The sequence below is a fragment of the Homo sapiens genome, chromosome 14 (genome assembly GCF_000001405.40).
Source record: "Homo sapiens chromosome 14, GRCh38.p14 Primary Assembly".
Classification (NCBI taxonomy): Eukaryota; Metazoa; Chordata; class Mammalia; order Primates; family Hominidae; genus Homo; species Homo sapiens.
This window is the reverse complement of record NC_000014.9, coordinates 69,449,467-69,473,962: the sequence shown is the minus strand read 5'-3', so window position 1 is coordinate 69,473,962 and position 24,496 is coordinate 69,449,467. Positions and strand designations below refer to the sequence as shown.

At 42.7% G+C, this 24,496-nt stretch overlaps 2 protein-coding genes across 9 annotated transcripts in view, besides 1 other annotated feature; both read right to left on the bottom strand.

Moving 5' to 3' along the window:
* Positions 1–6,219, bottom strand: part of PLEKHD1 (pleckstrin homology and coiled-coil domain containing D1) — a 63,808-nt gene extending 57,589 nt beyond the window's left edge. Inside the window, exon 1 of the mRNA XM_017021290.1 lies at positions 5,497–6,219. The gene's annotated coding sequence lies outside the window, so the exon portion shown is untranslated. The remainder of the gene's footprint in view (positions 1–5,496) is intronic.
* Positions 6,220–11,572: 5,353 nt separating this feature from the next.
* The window catches only part of SLC39A9 (solute carrier family 39 member 9), a 64,007-nt gene continuing 51,083 nt past the window's right edge, over positions 11,573–24,496 (bottom strand). For 5 of the 8 annotated variants that reach the window (NM_001252151.2, NM_001252152.2, XM_024449648.2 and 2 more), the window contains 4 exons: positions 20,654–20,722; positions 19,066–19,151; positions 18,097–18,231; positions 11,573–15,600 (listed from right to left, as the gene is read on the bottom strand). In NM_001252151.2, the coding sequence (NP_001239080.1) occupies positions 15,370–15,600; positions 18,097–18,231; positions 19,066–19,151; positions 20,654–20,722 (521 nt within the window). In that variant the 3' untranslated portion in view covers positions 11,573–15,369. The remainder of the gene's footprint in view (positions 15,601–18,096; positions 18,232–19,065; positions 19,152–20,653; positions 20,723–24,496) is intronic. The other 3 variants (XM_047431550.1, NM_001252148.2, NM_001252150.2) reach the window with 2 other exon arrangements.
* Positions 13,626–13,675: a silencer, noted in NCBI's record as "silent region_5881". NCBI's record gives its function as "represses an Ori minimal core promoter by ATAC-STARR-seq in GM12878 lymphoblastoid cells {active_cell/tissue: GM12878}" and the evidence as "EXISTENCE:reporter gene assay evidence [ECO:0000049][PMID:35858748]".

Sequence of the window (24,496 nt, the reverse complement as noted above, 5' to 3'; positions counted from 1 at the left end):
TGCCCCTAGCCCAGCAAACACCCAATTCAGATGGGGGCTGGAGGGCTGGAAGGAAACAAGAGTTCAGGAGTGGAAGCTTTGGTGAGACAGTAGTTGAAGTATCTGAAGATGGTTATCAAATTCTGCCCTCAAGAGCATTCCAGACATAAGCAAGCAATCCAGGTCCTTCTAGCTTCCTCGAAGACCCCAATCTCCCCCTCGATCCCCTTCTCCACTGGGCTCCCTCCTCTGATGGCTCCTGAATTTGTCGGGATTCCTCAATTCTTGTGCAACCAGAGTGGGACACAAACTTTTACTCACATTCCTGTCCAAAAATTACAAAATTGGGCAGTGGCTAACATGGTAACAAAAATCAGTGGCTGAGCCAGTAATAGGATCCGGGTTTTCTGATTCCTAAATTAGTCATACAGCACCTTGCTGTGGCTGGTCAGCACTGAGTTAGTAACCTGAACCCAGTTAATTTCCCACCTGTACACTCAGTTCCATGCCCTTTCTGATACTGCTAACTCCCAAGCAGCCCTCACCAAGTGAGGCAGAGGTGGAGCTACACACACGCAGGGTCAGCAGCTGGTCCTGCCAGGGATCAGGGCTGCAGCTGGGGCGGGGAGAGGGAGGGTTGGTGGGAGGGTGGGGTAGGGACACATTCTGAGAAACATGTCCTTAGGCAATTTTGTCCTTGTTTGGACACTGTAGAGCAGTGGTCCCCAACTTTTTTGGCACCAGGAACCAGTTTCATGCAAGACAATTTTTTCATGCGCTGGAGTTTGGGGGGAGATGGTTTCAGGATGATTTAAGTGCAATACATTTATGGTGCACTTTATTTCTATTATTACATTGTAATATATAATGAAATAATTATACAACTCACCATAATGTAGAATCAGTGGGAGCCCTGAACTTGTTTTCCTGCAACTAAACGGTCCCATCTGGGGATGATGGGAGACGGTGATGGATCATCAGGCATTAGATTCTCATAAGGAGCATGCAACCTAGATCCCTGTGTGTGCAGTTCACAGTAGGGTTCATGCTCCTATGAGAATCGAATGCTGCCGCTGATCTGACTGGAGGCAGAACTCAGGTGGTAATGCTTCTTCACCTGCCGCTCACCTCCTGCTGTGTGGCCCGGTTCCTAATAGGCCAAGGACCAGTACTGGTCTGTGGCCCGGGGTTGGGGACCCCTGCCATAGAGTGCACTTACACAAACCTAGATGGCATAGCCTACCACACACCTAGGCTGTATGGTACAGCCTATTGCTCCTAGGCTACAAACCTGTGCAGCACATTACTGTACTGAACACTGTAGCCAGTTGCAATGCAATGGTAAGTATTTGTGTGTCTAACCACAGAAAAAGGTGGAGTAAAAATACAGTATTATAATCTTAGAGGACCATGGTTATAAATGTGGTCCATCATTGACCGAAACATTGCTCTGTGTTGCATGGCTGCTTTATAAAGCACATGACACGGTGATTAACGTTACCGAAAAAGAAATAGAGCAGCATACAGAACATGGGGGTGGGGACAGGTTACAGTTTTAACTCACGCGGTCCCGGTAAGCCTAATGGAAGGAGACATTGCATCCAGAGTTGAAGGAGGGGGAAGAGCATTCCAGACACAAGGACAAAGACTCAAGGTTGCTTACTTCTTACATTATAAACAGTATACGGGAGGATGCAGCTCTAGCTTAGAAGAATTAAAAACAGACATACATACATGTGTAGGCAGGTGAGTGTTTGATTCCCTGGGTTGCTGCTTGAAGGGCTGTGGTGTTGGGTGTGCCGCCTGTGTGTGATTCTCTCTCTGGTTGTGGGTGAGTGACCGAGTGGGCATGTGACCATCGCTGTGTGTGGTGATTGTTGTGACGGTGTGTGGTGTTTGGTTCTGACTCAGCACGGGTCGTTGAGTGTGTGGCTGGGACCATTGAGAAGTAGATACACACTTGTGTGTGACTGTGTAAAAACGTGTGAAACATTTTCTCACCATTTCCGTGAAGCAGCCGTTTCACCAGAAGGTTTGGAAGGAACCTTAAGCTCTGGAAGCCTAAGAGTTTATCTGGTAATTAATTTTAAACATTATATCTATGGTAAAAATAAATGTGGATTATGAAGGAGAAGACAAAGTCAGCAAAAGTGAGATGTCAAGGAGCTTCCTGTGTATAGGTTGACATCTCTCGGCCAAATACTAGACTACCATGGGTGGTGGTTCATTCTCTTCTGCTGTTAGGCACCTTTGGCATGGGAAAGTGTGGGGAGCCCTGGACTTGAGACATCCTGAGGCAGCATGATTCTGAATGACTGGGACTCCGAGGTCCTGGATGCTGGCCAGCCCCTGCGATGCCCAGTCCTGAATGAGAAAACCATCCCTATTCAAGGTAGTACAGTTTGTCCTTGAACCAGGTCTAGACTCCAGAGCTACTCTCTCTTGGTTTGATCCAGTTTCTCTCAGACCTTGTGACCTCTACAGTGTAGTTAAGAGTGTGGACTCAGGAGCCAGAATGCCTGAGCTCCAGCTTCAGAGATGTGCCTTGGTTTCCACATTTGAAAGTGGGGATGAGCCAGGCGTGGTGGCTCATGTCTGTAATCCCAGCTCTTTGGGAGGTCAAGACGGGAGGATCCCTTGAGCCCAGGAGTTTGAGATCAGCCTAGGCGACATAGGGAGACCCCATCTCTACAAAAATAAAAATTTAAAAATCAGTCGGGAGTGGTGGTGTGTGCCTGTGGTCCCAGCTACTCAGGAGGCTGAGATGGGAAGATTGCTTGAGCCCGGAGTAGAGGGTGCAGTGAGCCATGATCGTACCACTGCACTCCCAGCCTGGGGAACAGAGCAAGACCCTGTCTCAAAAAAAAAAAAAAAAAAAAAAAAAAAAAAAAAAGGCCAGGCACGGTGGCTCACGCCTGTAATCCCAGGCCTTTGGGAGGCCGAGGCAGGCAGATCACAAGGTCAGGAGATCGAGACCATCCTGGCTAAAACGGTGAAACCCCGCCTCTACTAAAAATACAAAAAATTAGCCGGGCATGGTGGTGGGCACCTGTAGTCCCAGCTACTCTGGAGGCTGAGGCAGGAGAATGGCGTGAACCTGGGAGGCGGAGCTTGCAGTGAGCCGAGATCGCGGAGCTTGCAGTGAGCCAAGATCATGCCACTGCACTCCAGCCTGGGCGACAGAGCGAGACTCTGTCTCAAAGAAAAAAAAAAGAAAGACAAGAAAGAAGAAAGAGAATTGTAGCACATAGCTCACTGAGTTACTGGGGAGGACTAAATGTAAAATAATGCCACTACTGCTGCTTCTGATAAGGATGATCATGGGCAAGAAGTTAATGCTTTCTTTCTTCCAAGGTGCTTTTTCCAGGAAATACACCACATTGCCTCTTTCTTTATACATTCTTCAGGAGAGGGCAGAGGCAGCATTTCCCTTGTAGACACAGTGATGTGGTGGAATTGCACACACTTTAGAGTCAGACAGACGTGGATTCAAATACCAACTCAGCCATTTACTAGTTTTTTTTTTTTTTTTGATCTCTGTCACCCAGGCTGGAGTGCAGTGGCACAATCTCAGCTCACCACAACCTCTGCCTCCCGGGTTCAAGCAATTCTCATGCCTCAGTATCCCGAGTAGCTGGGACTGCAAGTGTGCACCACTACGCCTGGCTAATTTTTGTAGTTTTAGTAGAGATGGGGTTTCACCATGTTGCCCAGGTTGGTCTTGAACTCCTGACCTCAAGTGATCTGCCCACCTTGGCCCCCCAAAGTGCTGAGATTACAGGCATGAGCCACTGTGCCCGGCCATTTACTAGTTTCTTAAAGCCTGTCTTAGTTTTCTTTGTTCATAAAAAAAAGAATGTTAGTGCTGGGCTTGCAGCCTGGTGCTGAGGATCAAATGAAAAACTGTAATTAAAGCAAACCTCAGACCTTAGTTACTGATTACTGATATTAAGAGACAACTTGGCAGGGCACGGTGGCTCACGCCTGTAATCCCAGCACTTTGGGAGGCCTAGGTGGGTGGATCACCTGAGGTCAGGAGTTCGAGATCAGCCTGGCCAACAAGATGAAACCCCGTCTCTACTAAAAATACAAAAATTAGCCAGGCATGGAGGTGGGTGCCTGTAATCCCAGCTACTAGTGGAGGCTGAGGCAGAAGGATGCCTGAACCTGGGAGGCGGAGGTTGCAGTGAGCCGAGATCATGCCACTGCGCTCCAGCCTGTGCAACAGAGTGAGACTCCGTCTCAAAAAAAAAACTAAAAAGAGACAACTTAAGTCTGGGAGTAGTGGTTCACACCAGTCGTCTCCGTGCTTTGGGAGGGTGAGGCGGGAGAATTGCTTGAGGCCAATAATTCTATGTTGCCTAGGCAACAGAGTGAGACCCCCATCTACACAAAAAAATTAAAAAATTATCCAGGCATGCTGGCGTGCACCTGTGGTCCCAGCTACTCAGAAGTCTCAGGCAGGAGGATCACTGGAGCCCAAGAGTTCTAGGCTGCAGTGAGCTATGATCTTGCCACTTCACTCCAGCCTGGGCGATAGAGCGAGAGAGACCCTGTCTCTTAAAAAAAAAAAAGAGAAACAACTTAAGAAAGAATGGTTGAATTTTAAGCTTGTGAGCCTATAGTTCAAGGAGACAGTTGTAAATGTATCCAACCTGACCTTATTCATAGTCAGGACAGTGTTGTGAGTTCAAGAACAGAGAGTAGCTGCCAAAAATAATGATCTTTTCTGTGTTCTCTGATCCTGGGAAGGGGTGAGTGGCTCTAGTTTCCCTCTAACATCCTCCTCTCTCTCTCTCTCTCTGTGTACATGTGTGAGTGTTTGCTTATGCAAGAAAGGAAGGAAGAGGACCGAGCTGGTGCAAAGCCAGCTTCTCTCAGGGTATCTTTCTTCCATACCATCTCTACTTCCTCAGAATCCTTGATCTGCCAAAGAGAAATCCGGAAAATGATGAAATGGCCATTTCACTTCTATGTGTTTTGAATGCAAATATGCACATTTTGAATGTAAAATAAAATTTCTCTTCCTAAGTTGAAAAATTCCATTTAACAAATGACTTTTTTAAAAACCCCTAATTCTATAGAAATAAATGGTGATTGTCGGGTGGGGCACAATGGCTCATGCCTGTAATCCCAGCACTTTGGGAAGCCATGGCAGGAGGATGGCTTGAGATCAGGAGTTTGAGACCAACCTGGTCAACATAGTGAGACTCCATCTCTACAAAAAATTAAAAACTTAGCCAGGCATGGTGGCATGCACCTGTAGTCCTGGCTGCTCAGGAGGATGAGGTGGGAGGATCGCTGGAGCTCAGGAGTTTGAGGCTGCAGTGAGCTATGGGCTTATGATTGCACCACTGCCCCTCCAGCATGGGTGACAAAGCAAGACCCAGAAAGAAAAGAAAGAAAGAAAGAAGGAAGGAAAGAAAGAAAGAAAGAAAGGAAGGAAGGAAATATATGGTGATTGTCGACAAATGTGAAAGCACTTATAATAAAAAGAATAAATCAAACATTACTCACAATTCCACAATCCAGAGATAATTACAGTTGAAATTTGAGGGTATAATTTTCTGAACTAGTTGTATTCATTTATCTCTGCCCTTCTTTTTCACTATCCTTATATTACAATTTTCGAAAGGAGTATCTGCCACATGCAGTCTGGTAAACTGCTTTTCATACCTGAAATTAATCATGAACATATTTGTAATTACATTTTTGATCTCATAGTATTCCATTGTATTGCTTTTCCATAATTTAACTAATCTGTTATTGTTTAACTCACGGCTCTGAACACTGGATAAAAACATGGTCCTATCCATGAACTATCTCCCTTGTCTTAACTAACTCCACAAGTCCTCCCAAAACATGTGAATGCCTGACCTCTTCATGAATAACTGTGTTTATTTCTTGGCCTACTGACATTCAAGAATGTGGCCTTTATTTCTCGAAGGAGTGGGGTTGATCGAAACCAGCACAGAAGGCTGTGTATCAAGATGAGGTATTGGAGAACTACAGGAATTTGGCTCACTGGATAGACATCGTTCCACCATGGTTGAAGATGTAACTCCTGTTCAGAAATGATTTATTAGTGGTGAAATTCCAAGGAGCTTCTGAGGTGCCTCCTGTTCACAAATAGTTGAGATTTGAGGGTTGATAATAAGCAGCTCTACTGACCCTCACCTGAAACTCCATCTCCCCCAAATCCCCACCTTTTTTTTTGAGACAGAGTCTGGCTCTATCACCCAGGCTGGAGTGCAGTGGCACAATCTCAGCTCAGTGCAAACTCTGCCTCCTGGGCTGAAGCCATCTTCCCAACTCAGCCTCCTGAGTAGCTGGGACTACAGGCACGTGCCACCATGCCTGGCTTTATTTATTTATTCATAGAGACAGGGTCTCGCTATTTGCCCAGGCAGGTCTCCACCTCCTAGCCTCAAGTGGTCTTCTTGCCTCAGCCTCCCAAAATGCTGGGATTACAGGCATGAGCCACCACACGGGGCCTTATCTTCCCCTTTCACCAGATTGACTATCCCACCTACATTTCTGGCTATTCAGTGATTGCTCTTAATGACTAAGGGACAGGGTCTGAACCCTTAAACCAAGTCTCTTATTTCCTCCTGGAGGAGTTTGTATTTCTCTCATTTATGAGTAATATGTTGGTATATAAGAAACAGCCCTGGATGATAGGAAGTGAAGTGATATTTTGGTGCTGGGGGATAGAATCATGTTAGGAGGAGGCTTTGCATGGGACATTCTGCTTTCCCTGAGGAGTGACTGCCTTGCTCTCAAAGAGGGTAATTAACAATGTCCAGGGGCCAGAAAGTTAGAGGAGAATGACAACCTAGAAAAGACCTTTTGAGTTGGAAACAGGAATCTTAAGTTTCAGTAGAGTGAGATGAACTCAGTTTAATGAGGGCTAAAGTAGAAAGATTTCCTTCTCTGAGATATGAAAAAATTTTATTAATAAACAATATGGGACATGGCAGCATGGCTCATGCCTGTAATCCCAACACTTTTGGAGGCCAGAGCAGAATTTCTTGAGCCAAGGGGTTCGAGACTAGCCCAGGCAACATAGCAAGACCTCATCTCTGCATACGAAAAATAAAATTAAAAAAATTAGCTGAGTGTGGTGGTGTGTGCCTGTAGTCCTAACTACAGGCTGAGGCTGAGGTGGGGGAGGGTTGCTTGAGCCCAGGAGTTGGAGGTTACAGTGAGCTGTGATCCTACCACTGCACCCCAGCCTGGGCGACCCTGTCTCTAAAAAAAAAAAAGAAAAAAATTACAAAGCGGCATAATCACAAATATGTGCCATTTAGTAACAAGAAATAAGTTACTCATAACTGAAAGTCCTTGTCACTCAATTTATGTATTTTTACTAGACTATATTAACACAGGTAAATATTTCTAACTATAAACAAAATTTTGTTCCAGCTTTCAGTCACATAAGATTACATCATCCCATTTTTTCCTCTGCTGGCATAATCTCAATGAGATATATTATTGTATATTTAGGCTAATTCCAATTTTATGCTATTAAAAATACATTTCCCATAAACATTTCTAGGCGAATATATATTTTTGTAATTGCTTATAATAAATTCCAAAGGTGGAAGGCCTGGGATAAAAAGCATAAATATATTCAAACTCTTGGTATGCTCTTTAGAAATGTAGTATCACTTTACACTGGCTTCCATTTTATCCATTTTTTTCTTTTAACATTTCACTATTTTGTCCAGCTACCATTTACTGCATATATGGTATAAACCTAGCATTTAATCTGATTGCTTTTCTTAAAATTTCCCAACAATTACCATTGTGTTTTTCTATGCTGTGGCTTTTTCTTTTTTCCTTAAGTCATCTTTAGCCATATTTTAGATTCTTAAATATTCTGCTTCTTACTGCTGGGCTCTTTCATTCCACTATCTCTGTGTCAGTGCTTGCATTGAGACTTTGTCAGTTTAATTAGGCCCTCCATGTGTCTTCCTTATTTTTTTTTTTTTTTTTTTTTTTTTTTTTGAGACAGAGTCTCGCTCTGTCGCCCAGGCTGGAGTGCAGTAGCGTGATCTTGGCTCACTGCAAGCTCCGCCTCCCGGGTTCACAGCATTCTCCTGCCTCAGCCTCCCAAGTAGCTGGGACTACAGGCGCCCGCCACCACGCCCGGCTAATTTTTTGTATTTTTAGTAGAGACGGGGTTTCACCGTGTTAGCCAGGATGGTCTTGATCTCCTGACCTCGTGATCCACCCACCTCGGCCTCCCAAAGCGCTGGGATTCCAGGTGTGAGCCACTGCTCCCAGCCCTTCCTTTTCAACTATTCTTTCCTCACTCCATTCCAGCTGCACTTGTCTTTTTGCTTCTTCTTGAACAAGCCAAGTAAGCTCTAATGTTAGGACCTGTGCTCTAGCTATTTGCTGTGCCTGGGATATTCTCCTCCCAGGTATCTGCTTGGCTCAGGTACTCACTTCTTTCAAGTCTTGGTTCAGGTTTCACTTTTTTTTTTTTTTTTTTTTCCAGACAGAGTCTTGTTCTGTTGCCCAGGCTAGAGTGCAGTGGTGCGATCTCAGCTCACTGCAACCTCTGCCTCCTGGGCTCAAGCAATTCTCATGCCTCAGCCACCCGAGTAGCTGGGATTACAGGTATGCACCACCACGCCTGGCTAATTTTTGTATTTTTAGTAGAGACAGAGTTTTGCCATGTTGGCCAAGCTGGTCTTGAACTCCTGGCCTCAAGTGATCCCAAAGTACTGGGATTACAGGCGTGAGCCACCACGCCTGGCCAGGTTTCACCTTTAAGTGTCCAGCTCTGACCATCTGTGTAGTAAAGAATTAGGCGGCCTTTGTCTTTGGTTTCTGGGAAGTAACCTCTAATTCTCTGGAATTTCCTGAGTGATAGGAGTATTCATTATTCACGGTGGACTCCTGGGATCCCACTTGATAGTTTCTGCTAACACAGTGACTCACGGAAGACCCCTGGATAGTTTATGTTTGCAAGATGACTCAGGCTGGGAGCTGGCCACCCGGAAAAGCCAACCATGTAGTTAGAGTTGGGGCTTTGAGTCATGTGATACCAGTCCAACCTCCAGGAAGGAAAAGGGGGCTAGAGATTGAGTTCAACCACATAGCCAATGATTCAATCATACCTAAATAACGAAGCCTCAATAAAAACTCCGGATACCAAAACTCAGGAGAACGTCCCTGGTCAGAGTATTTTCATGCTTCAATGCTGGGAGGGCAATGTGTCCCTGAGAATGAGGGAAGCTTCACATTTGGGACTCTCTCAGACTTTGCCCCAGGCACCTCTTCTTCTGTTTCTGGTCTGTCCTTTTTGCTATAATAGAACTGCAATCATAACATAGTTTTTTCTGGAGTTCTGTGAGTTGTTTTAGCAAATTACTGACCAGAGAGTGGCTGTGGGAAACTCCAAATTTGCAGCCAGCTAGTCAGAAGAAAGGATGACCTGGTAATTCCTGAACTTGCTGCTGGTGTCTGGAGAGCAGTTTTGTGGAGGAATGTGCCCTTAATGTTGAGTTCCCATTTTTTAAGTGTACAATTCAATAGCTTTTGGTAGGTTCACAGAATTGTGCAGCTGTCATCCCCAACATGTTTTTTGAACTTTCAAATTTCTGATCTGGTTCAATCAAAAAGGAACCTCCAATCCAGGTTAATCACTGGAATTGATTATTTCATCTCTTCAGACTCTCTTAATTTAGAACAGAATTCTTCCTTTTTTTTAAGTGAATTTTTTGAGACAGAGTCTTGCTCTGTTGCCCAGGCTGGAGTGAAATGGCGTGATCACAGTTCACTGCAGCCTTGACCTCCTGGGGTCAAGCAATCCTCCCACCTCAGCTTCCCAAGTAGCTGGGACCACAGGTGCATGTCACTATATCCAGCTTTTTTTTTTTTTTTTTTTTTTGAGACAGAGTCTCGCTCTGTCACCCAGGCTGGAGTGCAGCGGCGTGATCTCGGTTCACTGCAAACTCTGCCTCCCGGGTTCGCGACATTCTCCTGCCTCAGTCTCCCGAGCAGCTGGGACTACAGGCGCCCGCCACCACGCCCAGCTAATTTTTTGTATTTTTAGTAGAGACGGGGTTTCACCATATTAGCCAGGATGGTCTCAATCTCCTGACCTCGCGACCCACCCACCTCGGCCTCCCAAAGTGCTGGGATTACAGGCGTGAGCCACCGTGCCTGGCCCCAGCTAATTTTTTTTTTTTAATTTTTTGTAGAGATGGGGGTCTCACTGTGTTGCCCAAGCTGGTCTCAAACTCCTGGGCTCAAGCAATCCTCCCACCTCAGCCACTCAAAGTGGCTGAGATTACAGACATGAACCATCACACCTGGTGACACTGACTTTTAAAGACTTTTTATTGAGCTATGACATAAGGTAAAAAGCACAAATCATGTGTACTGCTTTTTCACCTGCTATAACCCTGTAACCAGCACCTAGATTAAAAAACAGATCAGGCCGGGCGTGGTGGCTCTCGCCTGTAATCCCAGCACTTTGGGAGGCTGAGGAGGGCGGATCATGAGGTCAGGAGATCAAGATCATCCTGGCTAACACAATGAAACCCCGTCTCTACTAAAAATACAAAAAATTAGCTGGGCGTGGTGGTGGGCACCTGTAGTCCCAGCTACTCGGGAGGCTGAGGCAGAAGAATGGCGTGAACCTGGGAGGTGGAGCTTGCAGTGAGCTGAGATCACACCACTGCACTCCAGCCTGGGCTACAGAGCAAGACTCTGTCTCAAAAAACAAACAAACAAAAAACAGATCATGTGAGCAGGAAAAAATAAAATAAAAATGACACCAAACAGAAAAGGATTGGTGGCTATTTTGGCTAAGCCCAGGTGTGTGTGTGTTTTGATCTCAGGGAAGCCTCCCGAGTAGCTGGGATTTACAGGTACCCCCCTACCACACCTGGCTAATTTTTCTATTTTGAGTAGAGACGGGGTTTCACCATGTTGGCCAGGGTGGTCTCGAACTCCTGACCTCAGGTGATCTACCCACTTCGGCCTCCCAAAGTGCTGGGATTACAAGCGTGAGCCACCATGCCTGCCCTGAGCACAATCTTTGTAACTAGCTATACATGTAACTATACATATAGAAAACCAGCACAAAGTGGGCCAGTAGTATTTAATGAAATCTAATGACTAACCATAAGTCCACAGAGGGAGAAAAACATTTATCAAATTCACACGTCACGTTTCTAATCAAATCTCTTTAATTTCCAGGGTCAGTTGTTCATAGCATCTATCTACTCATATAACAACTCTGCCCTATGAAATGAATCCACTGTGGTTTGGATCTGTTGCCTCTTTCTCTTTTCTGAGAGTAGAGAGAGCTACCTTCGTAAATAATATTTGCTAACAACAGCAAGGCAAAAACAATTATCAATGCATTTGTGTCTTTCAGGGCAGATTGGTCTATCAAGTCCTTAATTTCCCCTCTCTCCTTTCTCCCTCCCTTCCCTAAAGGATGTGCCTGTGGTAGGTACATCTTTCTACCATCCATCACAACTTTTCATTCTCTTTTCTGATGTTCAAATACAGGTCAATTCTGGTCATCAAACAAACTGCCAAAAGGATAAGTAATGAGCCACTCAGATTAAGGTATGCACTAATAAAAATTTAATATCAGAAAACAGCATTTTTTTAACCATTCACAATTAAAGTGGAAAGAGACAAAATTATAAGGCAGCCATCCATGGAATGATTTCATGTTTACAAGGGATCCAGAAAAAGGGACATTTAAAATCACTGTTCCAGCTATTGAACCAGGGGAACTGCAGTCTTATCCCATGAGACTTCTAACTTGCTGGAAGATGCCACAAGAAAAAAAGATCAAAGCCAATCTCCTTGTGTTAAGCCACTGGGTTAGGCTGAGTATATCTAGAGAATTCCTAAATGGTTGTCTAGTTCTTTCCCACAAGTTACACATTTCCTTCAGGCCTCCTGAGGTGAATCTAGATGTCTCAGGTACAAAGAGGTTTTAATTTCACAGCATCTCCAACAGTGCACTTTGGGTGATGTGGACCATTCTGTATTGAGCAGAAATTTTCTAATGGAAGGAAGGTTCCTCTGCAGAACAACTACAGAGGATTTTCACTTAACACTGCAGCAGTTCTGGATGAATCTGGTCATGATTCTCAGTCTCCCAAGGGGCTCAGGGGCCCACAAGGCAGGAACATCCTTTGGGGGTTTGTGCTGCTGTCATACGGTTCCTGTGTTCAGTCCCTAGCTACCATGTGTTTCAGGGGCTTAATACACTCCGATGCTGGTGTGTCCTCTTAGTTCTAATCCTTGAAAAAGAGAAAAACCAGGCAGTGACACTTAGAAGTAGGCTGGTAAAAAAAAAACACAATCACATTTTCTCCTTTCTGCAAAGAAAGGACAACTCAAAACAGCCACTCCCTTTCTTTTCTCTAATGATTCAAAATACCAGAACAGGGCTCACTTGGCTGTTTTGAATTGGGAAAGAAAGAGGTGAAAGCGGGGAGAAAGAGAAAACACATAACCTCTAGGTAGGTAGTACTGTTTCCAACTGTCTACGTTCCAGTGCAGAATCTTTGCTAAAAAAAAATTTGGCAATAGTGTGCACAGGAAAACTGAATCAAACCTGGAACATCACTGCTTTCTTGAAATGGAACTGACAAGCAATTAACTGGAGAATAAGTGAGGGGAATGGAGCAGTAGTATTCTTTAACTTAATTTGCCATTTAAGAGAGCACTTGGAATCTGAAGAAAGTCTATCCCTACCAAGGAAACGGAGTCAAATTGCAATTAAGATTAACTTTGGTTATATGGAAGCAAGAATCATGCTTCTCATCATCAATTGCGTCTCTTTGGTAGCCAATAATTCCATCTGTAATCATGGCAGCAACTTAAGTATTGCCAATGTTTTCAAATGTGTTACAGCATTAAGGCATCCACATCTAAAGAGGCAGTTTTAAACAAGAGGAAAACGGAACTGAAATGTGCCAAGAAGTGAACACGGACATGGCCTCTCCTGGAATACTGCCCACCATGCCAGCAAGCTCTTCCTCCAGTCAAGAAGGCCTGTGCCACGCTGCTTGGTTCCCTGCTGCCTGAAGATGCATTTGAGCCCTATGAGATTAGTATGGCTATTTCTGTCTGCTGACCAGGAGAGAAATGAGTAGTTCTCGAGGCAGCAGCTTTAAAATCTGGGAAAGCCCATACATAGCTTCTGAGAGCTAAGAGGGCCCTGAAAGGTTTGCTTGTTAATAGTGAGGTCCAGAGGGGAAGGCAAATTTGGAAGTCAGATGGTTCAATCCTTGCCGGAGTTCAAGGCTCCATCCAGCAAGATATACTAGCCAAACTTTTAAGCATGATGGCAAGGCACTGCTGAAAGAGGCTTTGGCCAGTAGAACAAATTACCATTGCACACAACAATATGATAGAAAGCACTACTGTCCAAACCAAACCAGACACTACAATCTGCTATTTATTTGACAAAGTCAGTTTCCAGAGAGAATCTAGGCAACCATATAGTTTTGAAGGACTAGATGAAACCTCAAGTCTCACACCAGTCAGCTGTTAACATCCAATCAAGGAAGTCATTTGGACTTTCCATACTATACCTTCTCTTGGTAGTAAAATTGTATGCAATTGTTGCCAATGACTACATACAACTGTATCCTATTTGTGCTACTTTCCTCACTGTGGCCAGCAGAGGGCTCACAAGCTTTATTTCCACAGCTGCTGATCCAGTGACAAATTCATGAAGGAAATAAATCATAGGCATGCTAGCTTATGCGTCATAGAAAACGTTTTTACAAACTACTACGTCCACTGCCCTGAAGAAACTAGTCTTGGTTCCCCCTTAGTGTAATGTGTTTTGAAATGGTATAGAAAGTAAAAATAAATTAATAATACAATATTATACACTTATTTGACAAGACAGGGTTTACAAAAATTTTGGCAAATATGAAAAAAAAATTATCCTAGTCTGTTAAACACTTTTGCTATCTCAATTGTTTAAATTACCAGATTAGTGATTGTGTCAATTTACACATGAGGAGGTGGTATTTTAAGGGCTCAACAAAGCGGCATTTGACACAAAGGTAATTTCTTTGAAGGGGGATAAAGAATAAAGATATTATTATCTTCATTATTACAGTTCGAGAAGTGGTTGTCCTGATAAGAATTCATCCCACACAAATATTAACACCAGCAGTAAGCAGCAAATTGTGGCGAGGAGAGGCTAGAGGGAAAAGTTAGAAGAAAAGCAAAGAAAAGACGAAGAGACAAGAGACATGATTCCAATAAGCTTTAAATCAATAGGCAAACACTTCTCATTTATGATCCATCTTGCTACAGGTGGTTATGTGAGAAGACACAGTGTCGCCAAAGCTGACCTAGTATTTAGGTCCCTAGAGGGATTGCTGATCTGCTAAGAGAAATAATTAAAAAAAAAAAAAACAAAAAAAAAGGACAACCATACATTTTGGTAGTCTTTTAAAAAAAGCTACTACAAAGATATCAATAACCATCCAAAAATCACTTAAAATTTAATATCCCTTAATTTCCAAAGACACTTTGTGATCTGACTGTTCTTGAAGGAAAGCCTAGAACTGAAACTACTAGAACTTGGCTCCTCTCTAGGAATGTGGAGACAGGTATTCTGCAAAGGAGAACTTGACAAGGAATGCTACAAAATACCAGTCACCTCTTTAGAAGCTCCTCCCACCTCTCCTGCTCCATTTGATGGAATGGCAGGCTGGATTCAGAGAGGCACGTGCCAAAGGAGCTGTTTAAATCCCTCTAGACATCCCTTTTCAATGGATATCTCTTTTGAGTATAAAGAGAGCTTTCAATGTGTCTTGCTATCATTTTCCTGACCCTAATCCCAGATTAACTAGAATCACCTTTAGCATCTAAGTGAGTGGGTGCTATGACCTTCCATCAACGCATGTGGCATAGATGCTAAAGCACCAGTCTTACATGGTGGGAACCATGTTAAAAATCAATGGATAAAGTAGCAGAGCCTCTAAACTAAGAAGAAAGAGACATAGCTTAATTACAGAACACTGTATTTTCATAATCACTATTTCATTGTGAGTATGAAGTTCTCCTCTTTTCCTTAAAACTAAATTCCATCTTCCCTGAGAATAGGGTTAAGAGAAATATTAAAACGCAAAATGTCAAGGGCCTTTTAAAAGATAACACAATGGGATGTCTATAGCTAACTGCAACGTAAATGTGTTTCTACTCTAAAAGCTTTTCCATTACTCAGGTTTTAACCTCACCTCCCCTCTGGACTCTAGGAATACATGTAGAGATGCGCAAGGTGAGACAAGAGACTGAGGAAGTGAGTAGCTGTCACGTGCCGGCTGTTCTCACTGGATGGCAAACGGCCCTGGACCAAGGCTGGACCTTGAACATTTAATGCTGGTGTCCTACTGACAGGATGAGAGGGATGAGGCAACCCAGAACCAGGGCTGCCACTTCCAGGCGGCTGAGGCCTCTCCCTCCCGTGGCATCGGGCTTGTGGCTGTGCCCTATTCCGCCCACCTCAGGGAGGACATGTACTGTGGCAACATAAAGAAATGTCCCGGCAGAGAAAAGCATGGCCACTCCCGTGGCGTTCACCTCTGAAAGGGCTTCTTTACTGCTCTGTGAATTAGAAGAGAGAAAGAGGAAAAACTAAGTCAAGTAAAATTCAGGGTCAGGAAGAAGTCCCAGTTAAAAAACACTCACTGTTCTTAACTGGTGCTGTCTAGGACACTGGGGACATCTAGAGAACACAGCAACTTTAAGTTATTCATGGGAAGCTTCCAAATAAGGGTTTAAGAATATCAGTGATGTACGCAATTGATTTTTTAAAAAATTTATTGTAAATCAACAATTTATAATTATATATATTTATAGGGTATAAAGTGACATTATGATTCATGAATAAAATGTGGACTAATTAAATAAAACTAACATCTGTCATCTCAAATATTTATCATATTTTGTGGTGAGAACATCTGAAATTTACTCTTAGCAATTTTGATATGTACCACACACTATTATTAAACTATATTCACCACAGTTCCATCATTCTGTCCATCCATTCATTGACTGTATCTGTCTTTAGAGATGAGGTCTCGCTATGTTGCCCAGGCTGGAGTTGAGTGGCTATTCACAGGCACAATCATAACACACTACAGCCTGGAACTCCTGGGCTCAAGCAATCCTCCTGTCTCAGCTTCCCAAGTAGCTGGGACTACAGGTATGCGCCACTGCTCCTGGTTCACAATTGCTTTTTAAAACGAACTTTAAGTGCTGGTTCAACAGGTTTGGCTTGTATTATTCTTGAGATAGAATCAACAATATATTATTGCAGATATTAAATTTCAGACATAAATTTATTTATTCTACTAATATTTAACAAGCATCATCTATGCACCAGGCTCTGGGCCAGGTGCTTGAGATACAGTGGTAATCAAGATGCAGTAGTTGACCTCATAGAGCCTAGAAATATCTCTTAAGCAGCCGGGCGTGGTGGCTCATGCCTGTAATCCCAGCACTTTGGGAGGCCAAGGTGGGCGGATCACGAGGTCAGGAGTTCGAGACCAGCCTGGCCAACATGGTGAAACCCTGTCTCTACTAAAAATACAAAAATTAGCCGGGCATGGTGGCGGGCGCCTGTAATCCCAGCTACTCCGGAAGCTGGGGCAGGAGAATCGTCTGAACCTGGGAGGCAGAGGTTGCAGTGAGCCAAGATTGCGCCATTGTACTCCAGCCTGGGTGACAGGCAAGATTCCATCTCAAAGGAAAAAAAAAATGTGTGTGTGTGTGTGTGTGTGTATATATATGTATATCTCATAAGCTAATCTTTATAAAACTAATTTCAACCTTTTCTGTTAAAAAAGTAGACCTATGGACTAAGACAACTAATTAAAATTTTAAGAAAAGGACATCCCATAGATGCAGCAAGTAACTCCATGTCTCCAGAATTATCAGCACCTTCCTGTCAAAAGGTTAAAAAACTGACACTGATTACTGAAGTGATAGAGTAATCTGTTAAAGGGAACAACATACTGCTCACTGAAAGAAGAGAAGGCTCTTCAGGTAAATGGAAAGGGTTTTTATAACACACTCTTAGCATCTAAGATCAACAAACCCTTGCTTAACAGGAACTTAGCCATTCTTTATCTCATTTTTCACATGTTCCTATTAATATGGGTTTTACTGCCAAATACTGAATTGACTGATGCTCAGAAGAATCAATGACCTTTAGAGAGGGTGTTGGGGAAAGCAGTTCCCATCAACTAGCCCTGAGTCAGTTTGCTTCTAAGATTTTCCTCCAGTTGCCTGCCAGTTGACATCTGGGTAAAATGCGGAGGGTTGTTGCTCAGAGCTACAGACAGGATTATAAGGCATGGGAAGGTCCAGCTTGGAGTCAGAAGAGCACATGTTACCTCAGGTCTGAAGCTATGTTCAGTACAAAGTATTCAATAGAAAGAACTGTACAGTTACTATCTGGGGACGTGAGAGCTGGGAGAAGAGGAGGAACGTGAAAAATGAGACCAAGAATGGCTAAGTTCCCGTTAAGGAAGGGTTTGTTGATCTTAGTTGCTAACAGTGTGTTATAAAAACCCTTTCCATTTACCTGAAAAGCCTTCTCTTCTTTCAGTGAGCAGTATGTTGTTCCCTTTAAAAGATTACTCTATCACTTCAGTAATCAATGTCAGTTTTTTAAACTCTTGACAGCAATCTCTGCCCAGCTGCTGCTCTTCTCAAAGCGGCTATGTGGCTTGTTACTCACGCTTCAGGTGTCTACCTCACATTAAATATGGACAGATTTGACTTATTAGATATCTGTCAAATGAAGCTAGCATGGCTGGTTACGTTATACTATTTTAAATATTGAAGCGCTATCATATTTATGCAAATATTCTTGGAACTGATTGATAGGGAAGAAGTTTTCAAATTAAATGAATAAGAAAATGCTAATATGAAGAGGACGCATTGGAATTAAGATATTTACCCTGTATAGTTTTTACTCCTAATTTTATCTTTAGTTTGAGAGAGTAATGTATTGGAAAAATTCAATCTAAGAGATCATAAATTCTAAGAGATCACAAGACACTGGTTTAGATAGCTGGGAATAGATTAGCTTACCTTACTCAGTCCTAAGTATGTCACCATGGACATAACTGGTGCTGCCAATGCAAAGACCAGCAAGTGCTTTCTGATTCGATTCCGCTCTAAGCCAGCATGCATCAAGAAGGAAACCAGTCCAAAAGCAGCTGGTGCCTGGAAATAAAAAATCATCTCTTATTATCATTCTAGAAGTATGGGTTGCTTCTACATCAAGAAGTATATGCCATTTGACTATGATTTCTCATACAAAGAAAAACTCACAAAAGGCCAGGCACAGTGGCTAATGCCTGTAATCCTAGCACTTTGGGAGGTCGAGGTGGGTGGATCACCTAAGGTCAGGAGTTCGAGACCAGCCTGGCCAACATGGTGAAACCCCGTCTCTACTAAAAATACAAAAATGTGTGGTGGTGGGCACCTGTAATCCCAGCTACTTGGGAGGCTGAGACAGGAGAATCGCTTGAACCCAGGAGGCGGAGGTTGCAGTGAGCCGAGATCACACCATTGCACTCCAGCCTGGGTGACAAGAGCAAACTCCATCTCAAAAACAAAAAACAAAAAACCCACACACACACAAAAAAAACCAAAAAACAAAACCAGGCAGAGTACAAACGCTGAGCTATGCCTCTTAGGAATTAATGTTCTAAGCCAAGAAAAGATCCTATTTGTGTGTTTCTTGGATAGTAAAAAAGAGAAACAGTCAAGAAAAGAAAAATACTTTTGAACAGAAATTATTACTATGAAATATAAAAATCTGAGGAGAATTTGACAATTTGTGTATATGTCTACACAAAAAAATTGAAACCCCTCAAGGAAAAGCTTAAGAAAATGGGAACAAGAAGCTATGAACAGATTTATTCAATTTTCCAAAATGAATAGCAATTATGAAATGAAGAAAATGTTCCCATTCCAGGAAAAACATTAAGGACCATGAGAAATTTTAATTATGAATACACTCAATACCAAACCTTACACCAAAATGTTGCTTACCTTATGTAGCATGATTGCCACAAACACAATTAACTGGACACTGGTCTGTGAAGTAGATGCTGCTGCTCCCAAAGCAACACCATCAGCTATATTTGGAAACAAGGAAACATAAAATACTATAAACAACAACAACAATAACAGTGTAGTGGTTGAGTGTATGAGCTTTACAGTCAGGTCCAGCTGGATCTAGTAATGTTACTTAACCTTTCTACATGCCAGCCTTATCTTTAAAATGTGTTCAATGAAGTATGTATTTCTTAGGGTTTTCATGAGGATTAAATGAGATAACTTATGTAAAGAGCATAGCATCTGGCCCAGAGTATTCAATGTTAGTTATTTTGGTTGCTGTTGTTGTTATTGGAAAACTAACATTCAATTTTCCAACTAATCAAAAATCCATTGATTAGTTAATCAAATTCTAACAAGGGAAATACCAAAGAAGAATTTCAAAGGAAGCATCTCTTAATCTTATAGGTTAAGAAACAAAATAGTCCCAGCTACTTGGGAGGCTGAGGCAGGAGGATTGCTTAAACCCGGGAGGTGGAGCTTGCAATGAGCCGAATCGTGCCAGTGCACTCCAGCCTCGGCAACAGAGTGAGACTCCGTCTCAAAAAAAGAAATAAATAAAATAAAGATACTAGAACTCTATATAGATGATTACTACTTAATAAGTAAACACTGGTTGAATGAATGAAATTTGTTAGAAAAGCATATTATACTTAGAAAGGGCCAGGTAACAGTGTACCACCTTTCACATGCCTTTCTTTGCCACTGACAGAATTCTATTACTAGGACTAGGTTTGGGTTATGATTCTAAAGTGTACCCTGTCAGCAATGCTAAGATCTCTGCATTCCACTGCATACCACTTCTGCTTAAACTGGTGTTTTGCATATAAACTGGTAACAGAGCTGTTCAGGACAGAAGCGCCAAGGCTCTTTTCCAGATGACATTCTAGAGCCAAGAATGAAAAGAGCAAACTTCTTCTTAAGAGCTAGACAGTAAATATTTGAGGCTTTGCAGTTATTTGGTCTCTTGCAACTGTTCAATTCTGCCACTGTTGCACAAAAACAAAAGAGATGGATCATTGTCATTGTCTATCTCTTCCTCAGCCTCCTGCAACTTTATCTTCATTCTAACATCAGTCACATTTGCCTTTCTCCATTTTTTATTGCCATCACCCTAACCTAAATTTTCATCACTCAAACAAACCTAAATCAGCAATAGGTTCCCTACTCTCATTTTTCCCTAATCAAATTCACTGTCACAAACAATACATAAATACATGGGCAAGGCTGTGTTCCAATAAAACTTCCTTAATTTGAATTATATAATTCTCATGTGCTACAGTATGTTCCTCTCTCTCTTTTTTTTTTTAAACCATTAAAAAGTATAGAAACCATTCTTAGCTTGCAAACCCCTGACACTGAGCACACCAAGCTTGTGCTTGTGTTGGAGGACTTCATTAAGAAACCTTTTCCTCAAAGGCCAGTCCAAGAGCATTCAATGAGGACGGTCCCTGAAATATAAACACTAAGGTCTCCCCTGTGCGATAGAAAACAAAGAAGTTCCACTGCAATCCAACCCTACCTGCAGCATGGACAACCAGACCCAGCGTGGTGGTGATTTTGGAATTGCTAGACCTTGCTGCTTCTGGATCTAAAGTGAAAATGAGAAAGACAGCGTTAAGCTATGTGAGACAGAAACTGTTCAAACATTGGTCTGGAGGTGAAAGAATTTCACTAATGTTGGCCAGGCTGGTCTCAAACTCCTGACCTCCAATGATCCGCCCGCCTCACCCTCCCAAAGTGTTGAGATGATAGGCGTGAGCCACCGCACCCGGCCACTATCTTTTTTCTTTCTGCTTCAAACCCTTAGAAGATTTCCCTGTCCTGAAGAGGTGGCTAAGAGGGAACTCTTCATTTGACTCAGCCCTACCTTAACAGAAAAATCACTGAAATGTGTAACCCCCAATGGCCCCAACTTCCTCCTATTCCTTAATCCTCTTCCTCTACTATTCCAAGGAAAGTGATCTATGGCCTCTGATCATTTCTTTCCAGACCAATCTAATTGTCATTGTCTATCTCTTCCTTAGCATCCTGCAACTTTATCTTCATTCTAACATCTGTCACATTTTTATTGCCATCACCCTAACCTAAATTTTCATCACTCAAACCTAAATTAGCATCAGGTTCCCTACTCTCATTTTTCCCTAATATAATTAATCTTACACATCCGTGTCAGATTCATCGTTTGAAAACACCACCCTTGGCCGGGCACAGTAGCTCACACCTGTAATCCCAGCACTTTGGGAGGCCGAGGCAGGTGGATCACCTGAGGTCAGGAGTTTGAGACCAGCCTGACCAACATGGTGAAACCACGTTTCTACTAAAAAATATAAAAATTAGCTGAGTATGGTGGCGGGCGCCTGTAATCTCGGCTACTTGGGAGCTGAGGCAGGAGAACTGCTTGAACCCAGGAGGCAGAAGTTGCAATGAGCCGAGATTGTGCCATTGCCCTCCAGCCTGGGCAACAAGAGTGAAACTCCGTCTCAAAAACAAACAAACAAAAAACCCACCACCCTTATGATGTGTCAGTTACCATTTAAGAATCTGCTGCTTTTCAAATTCAGGGCAAACTGCTATATTAGATAGGTTCTTAAGCCCTTTATCAACTAGTTCCAACTTATTTCTCAATGTCCAGTCTAGTTAAACCAGTTTGCTTAACACCATCGAACAAAACCTTCTTATTCTCCTTTCCCCAAGTCTCCTCACCTGTAATTCTTGGCACATACTGAACTTCTCAGCTTGTTAAGCCAAAACTTGGACATCAATCAAAGTCTAACTACAGAACCACTTCCCTCAAGAAAGAATAAAAAATTGAAGACTAAGCATGGTGGCTCATGCCTGTAATCTCAGCAGTCTGGGAGGTCGATGGGGGAGGATCACTTGAGGCCAGGAGTTTGAGACCAGCCTGGGCAACATCACAAGACCCTATCTCTACAAAATTTTTAAAATTTAGCCAAGTGTGGTGGTGCATGCCTGTAGTCCCAGGTATCTAGGAGGTTAAGGTGGAAGGATCACTTGTGCCTAGGAGTTTAAGGCTGCAACAAGCTATGCTCATGCCACTGGACTCCAGCCCGGGTGACAGAGCAAGACCTTGTCTCAAGAAAAATTAAAAATAAATTTAAAAAATTGATTCCAGCTCAAAGCAACTCTCCCCTTGCCTAGACCTAGTGATCTATGCAGGCAGTCTTCAAAGGTTCCTCTATACACCACCTCAGATATACAAAGCCATTTTCACTTGAATGTTTTCTATCCCCAGATGGACTGTAAATGCTAAAGCATTAAATTTTCTACCTCTCTTTTCCTTTAACATGTCTGACAGAATGTAGCACAGCACTAGGCACCCAATAGTTACTTAATAAATCCTTGCTGAAGAGTGAAAAAAGCATTTATGTGTATTAAATAAAGATGTTACTGCTCTTGTAGGAAACATACAAGTAAATAAAGTTAAAAGATGGGGACATCAAAATGCCAGGTAAAATGACAGATGAACATCAGTCAAGTAAGTTACAGGGGATTTAATCTTCTTAGGAGTCCAGCATACAAAAGGAAGGGGTTTACAATGGAAAAAGTATACAAGTAAAGTAAGATATTACCTCTTATTAATAAATGATATTTTCCTATTAAAACACTGCAAAGAAGGGAAGCTAAAGACCCTAATCACTCTGCGCCAGCAAATAGCTCAATGCTACCCTGAACTGGAAGGAACAGTCAAATTACACTGTGTGCAAGCTGGCTCTGGCCTTTTTTTATACAAAGGCTTATCATCCAGTTATACTTAGGATCTTAAACAATTAGAGGCTTTAAAATTAGAAAGTTTTTATAAACCTATAAAGACTGCAGTTTAGCATAAATTTAATAAATACATTTTATTGACATTTTATAATACATAAAACTCTGCAGAAAATAGGTAAAACCAGGTCATCAGACACGAAAGCCAGCAAAAATAATGACTTCAGAGATAAAACAGGAAGAAGAATAATGGAACACAAGCTACATTTAACTCTCTGTATAGGATTACTGGCTACTACTGCGCCCACACATTTTATTTTTATTTTTTTAGAGACAGAGTCTTGCTTGTTGCCCAGGCTGGAGTGAAGTGGTGCGATCACAGCTCACTGCAGCCTCGAACTGAAATGATTCTCCCTCGCATCTCAGCCACCTGAGTAGCTGTGATTACAGGCAAGTGCCACTATGCCTGGCTAATTTTTAAAGTACTTTTTTGTAGAGATGGGTCTTGCTGTGTTGTCCAGGCTGGTCTCAAACTCCTGACCTCAAGCCATCTTCCCACTTTGGCCTCCCAAAGTGCTGGGATTACAGGCGTGCACCATTGTGACTGGCCTGACAATCACCATATATATCTTTAGAATCAGGTTTTTTTTAAAAAATCATTCGTTAAATGGAAATTTCTTTCAACTTACTGAGGAGGAAAAATTTTATTTCACATATTTAACATGTTTACATTTACATACATGTTTCAAAACACATAGAAGTGAAGTGGCCATTTCATCATTTTCCAAATTTCTCTTTGGCAGATCAAGGATTCTGAGAAAGTAGAATGGTATGGAAGAAAGATACCCTGGGAGAAGGCTAGCTTTGCCCCAGCTCGGTCCTCTTCCTTCCTTTCTTCCTTTTTTTTTTATTTTGAGATGGAATCTTGCATGGTCACCCGGGCTGGAGCGCAGTGGCGTGATCTTGGCTCACTGAAACCTCTGTCTCCCAGGTTCAAGCGATTCTTGTTGCCTCAGCCTACCAAGTAGCTGAGATTACAGGTGCCCGCCACTGCGCCCAGCTAATTTTTTTGTATTTTTAGTAGAGACGGGGTTTCACTATGTTGGCCAGGCTGGTCTCGAACCCCTGACCTCATGATTCACCCGCCTCGGCCTCCCAAAGTGCTGGGATTACAGGTGTGAGCCACCGTGCCCAGCCCCCTTCCTTTCTTGCATAAGCAAACACTCACACATGTGTATACACACACACACACACACAGAGCAGGATGTCAGAGGGAAACTAGAGCCACTTGCCCCTTCCCAGGATCAGAGAACACAGAAAAGGTCATTACTTTCTGCAGCTACTCTCTGTTCTTGAACTCACAACACTGTCCTGACCATGAATAAGGTCAGGTAGGAGAAATTTACAACTCCCTGAACTATAGGTTCACAAGTGTGAAATTCGACCATCCTTGTTTCTTTTTCTCTCTCTTTTTTTAAGACACAGGGTCTTCCTCTGTCACTCAGGCTGAAGTACAGTAGCACAATCATAGCTTACTGCAGTCTCGAATTCCTGGGCTCAAGCAATCCTCCCATCTCAGCCTCCCAAGTAACTGGGATTACAGGCACATGCCACCATGCCCAGCTAATTTTTAAGA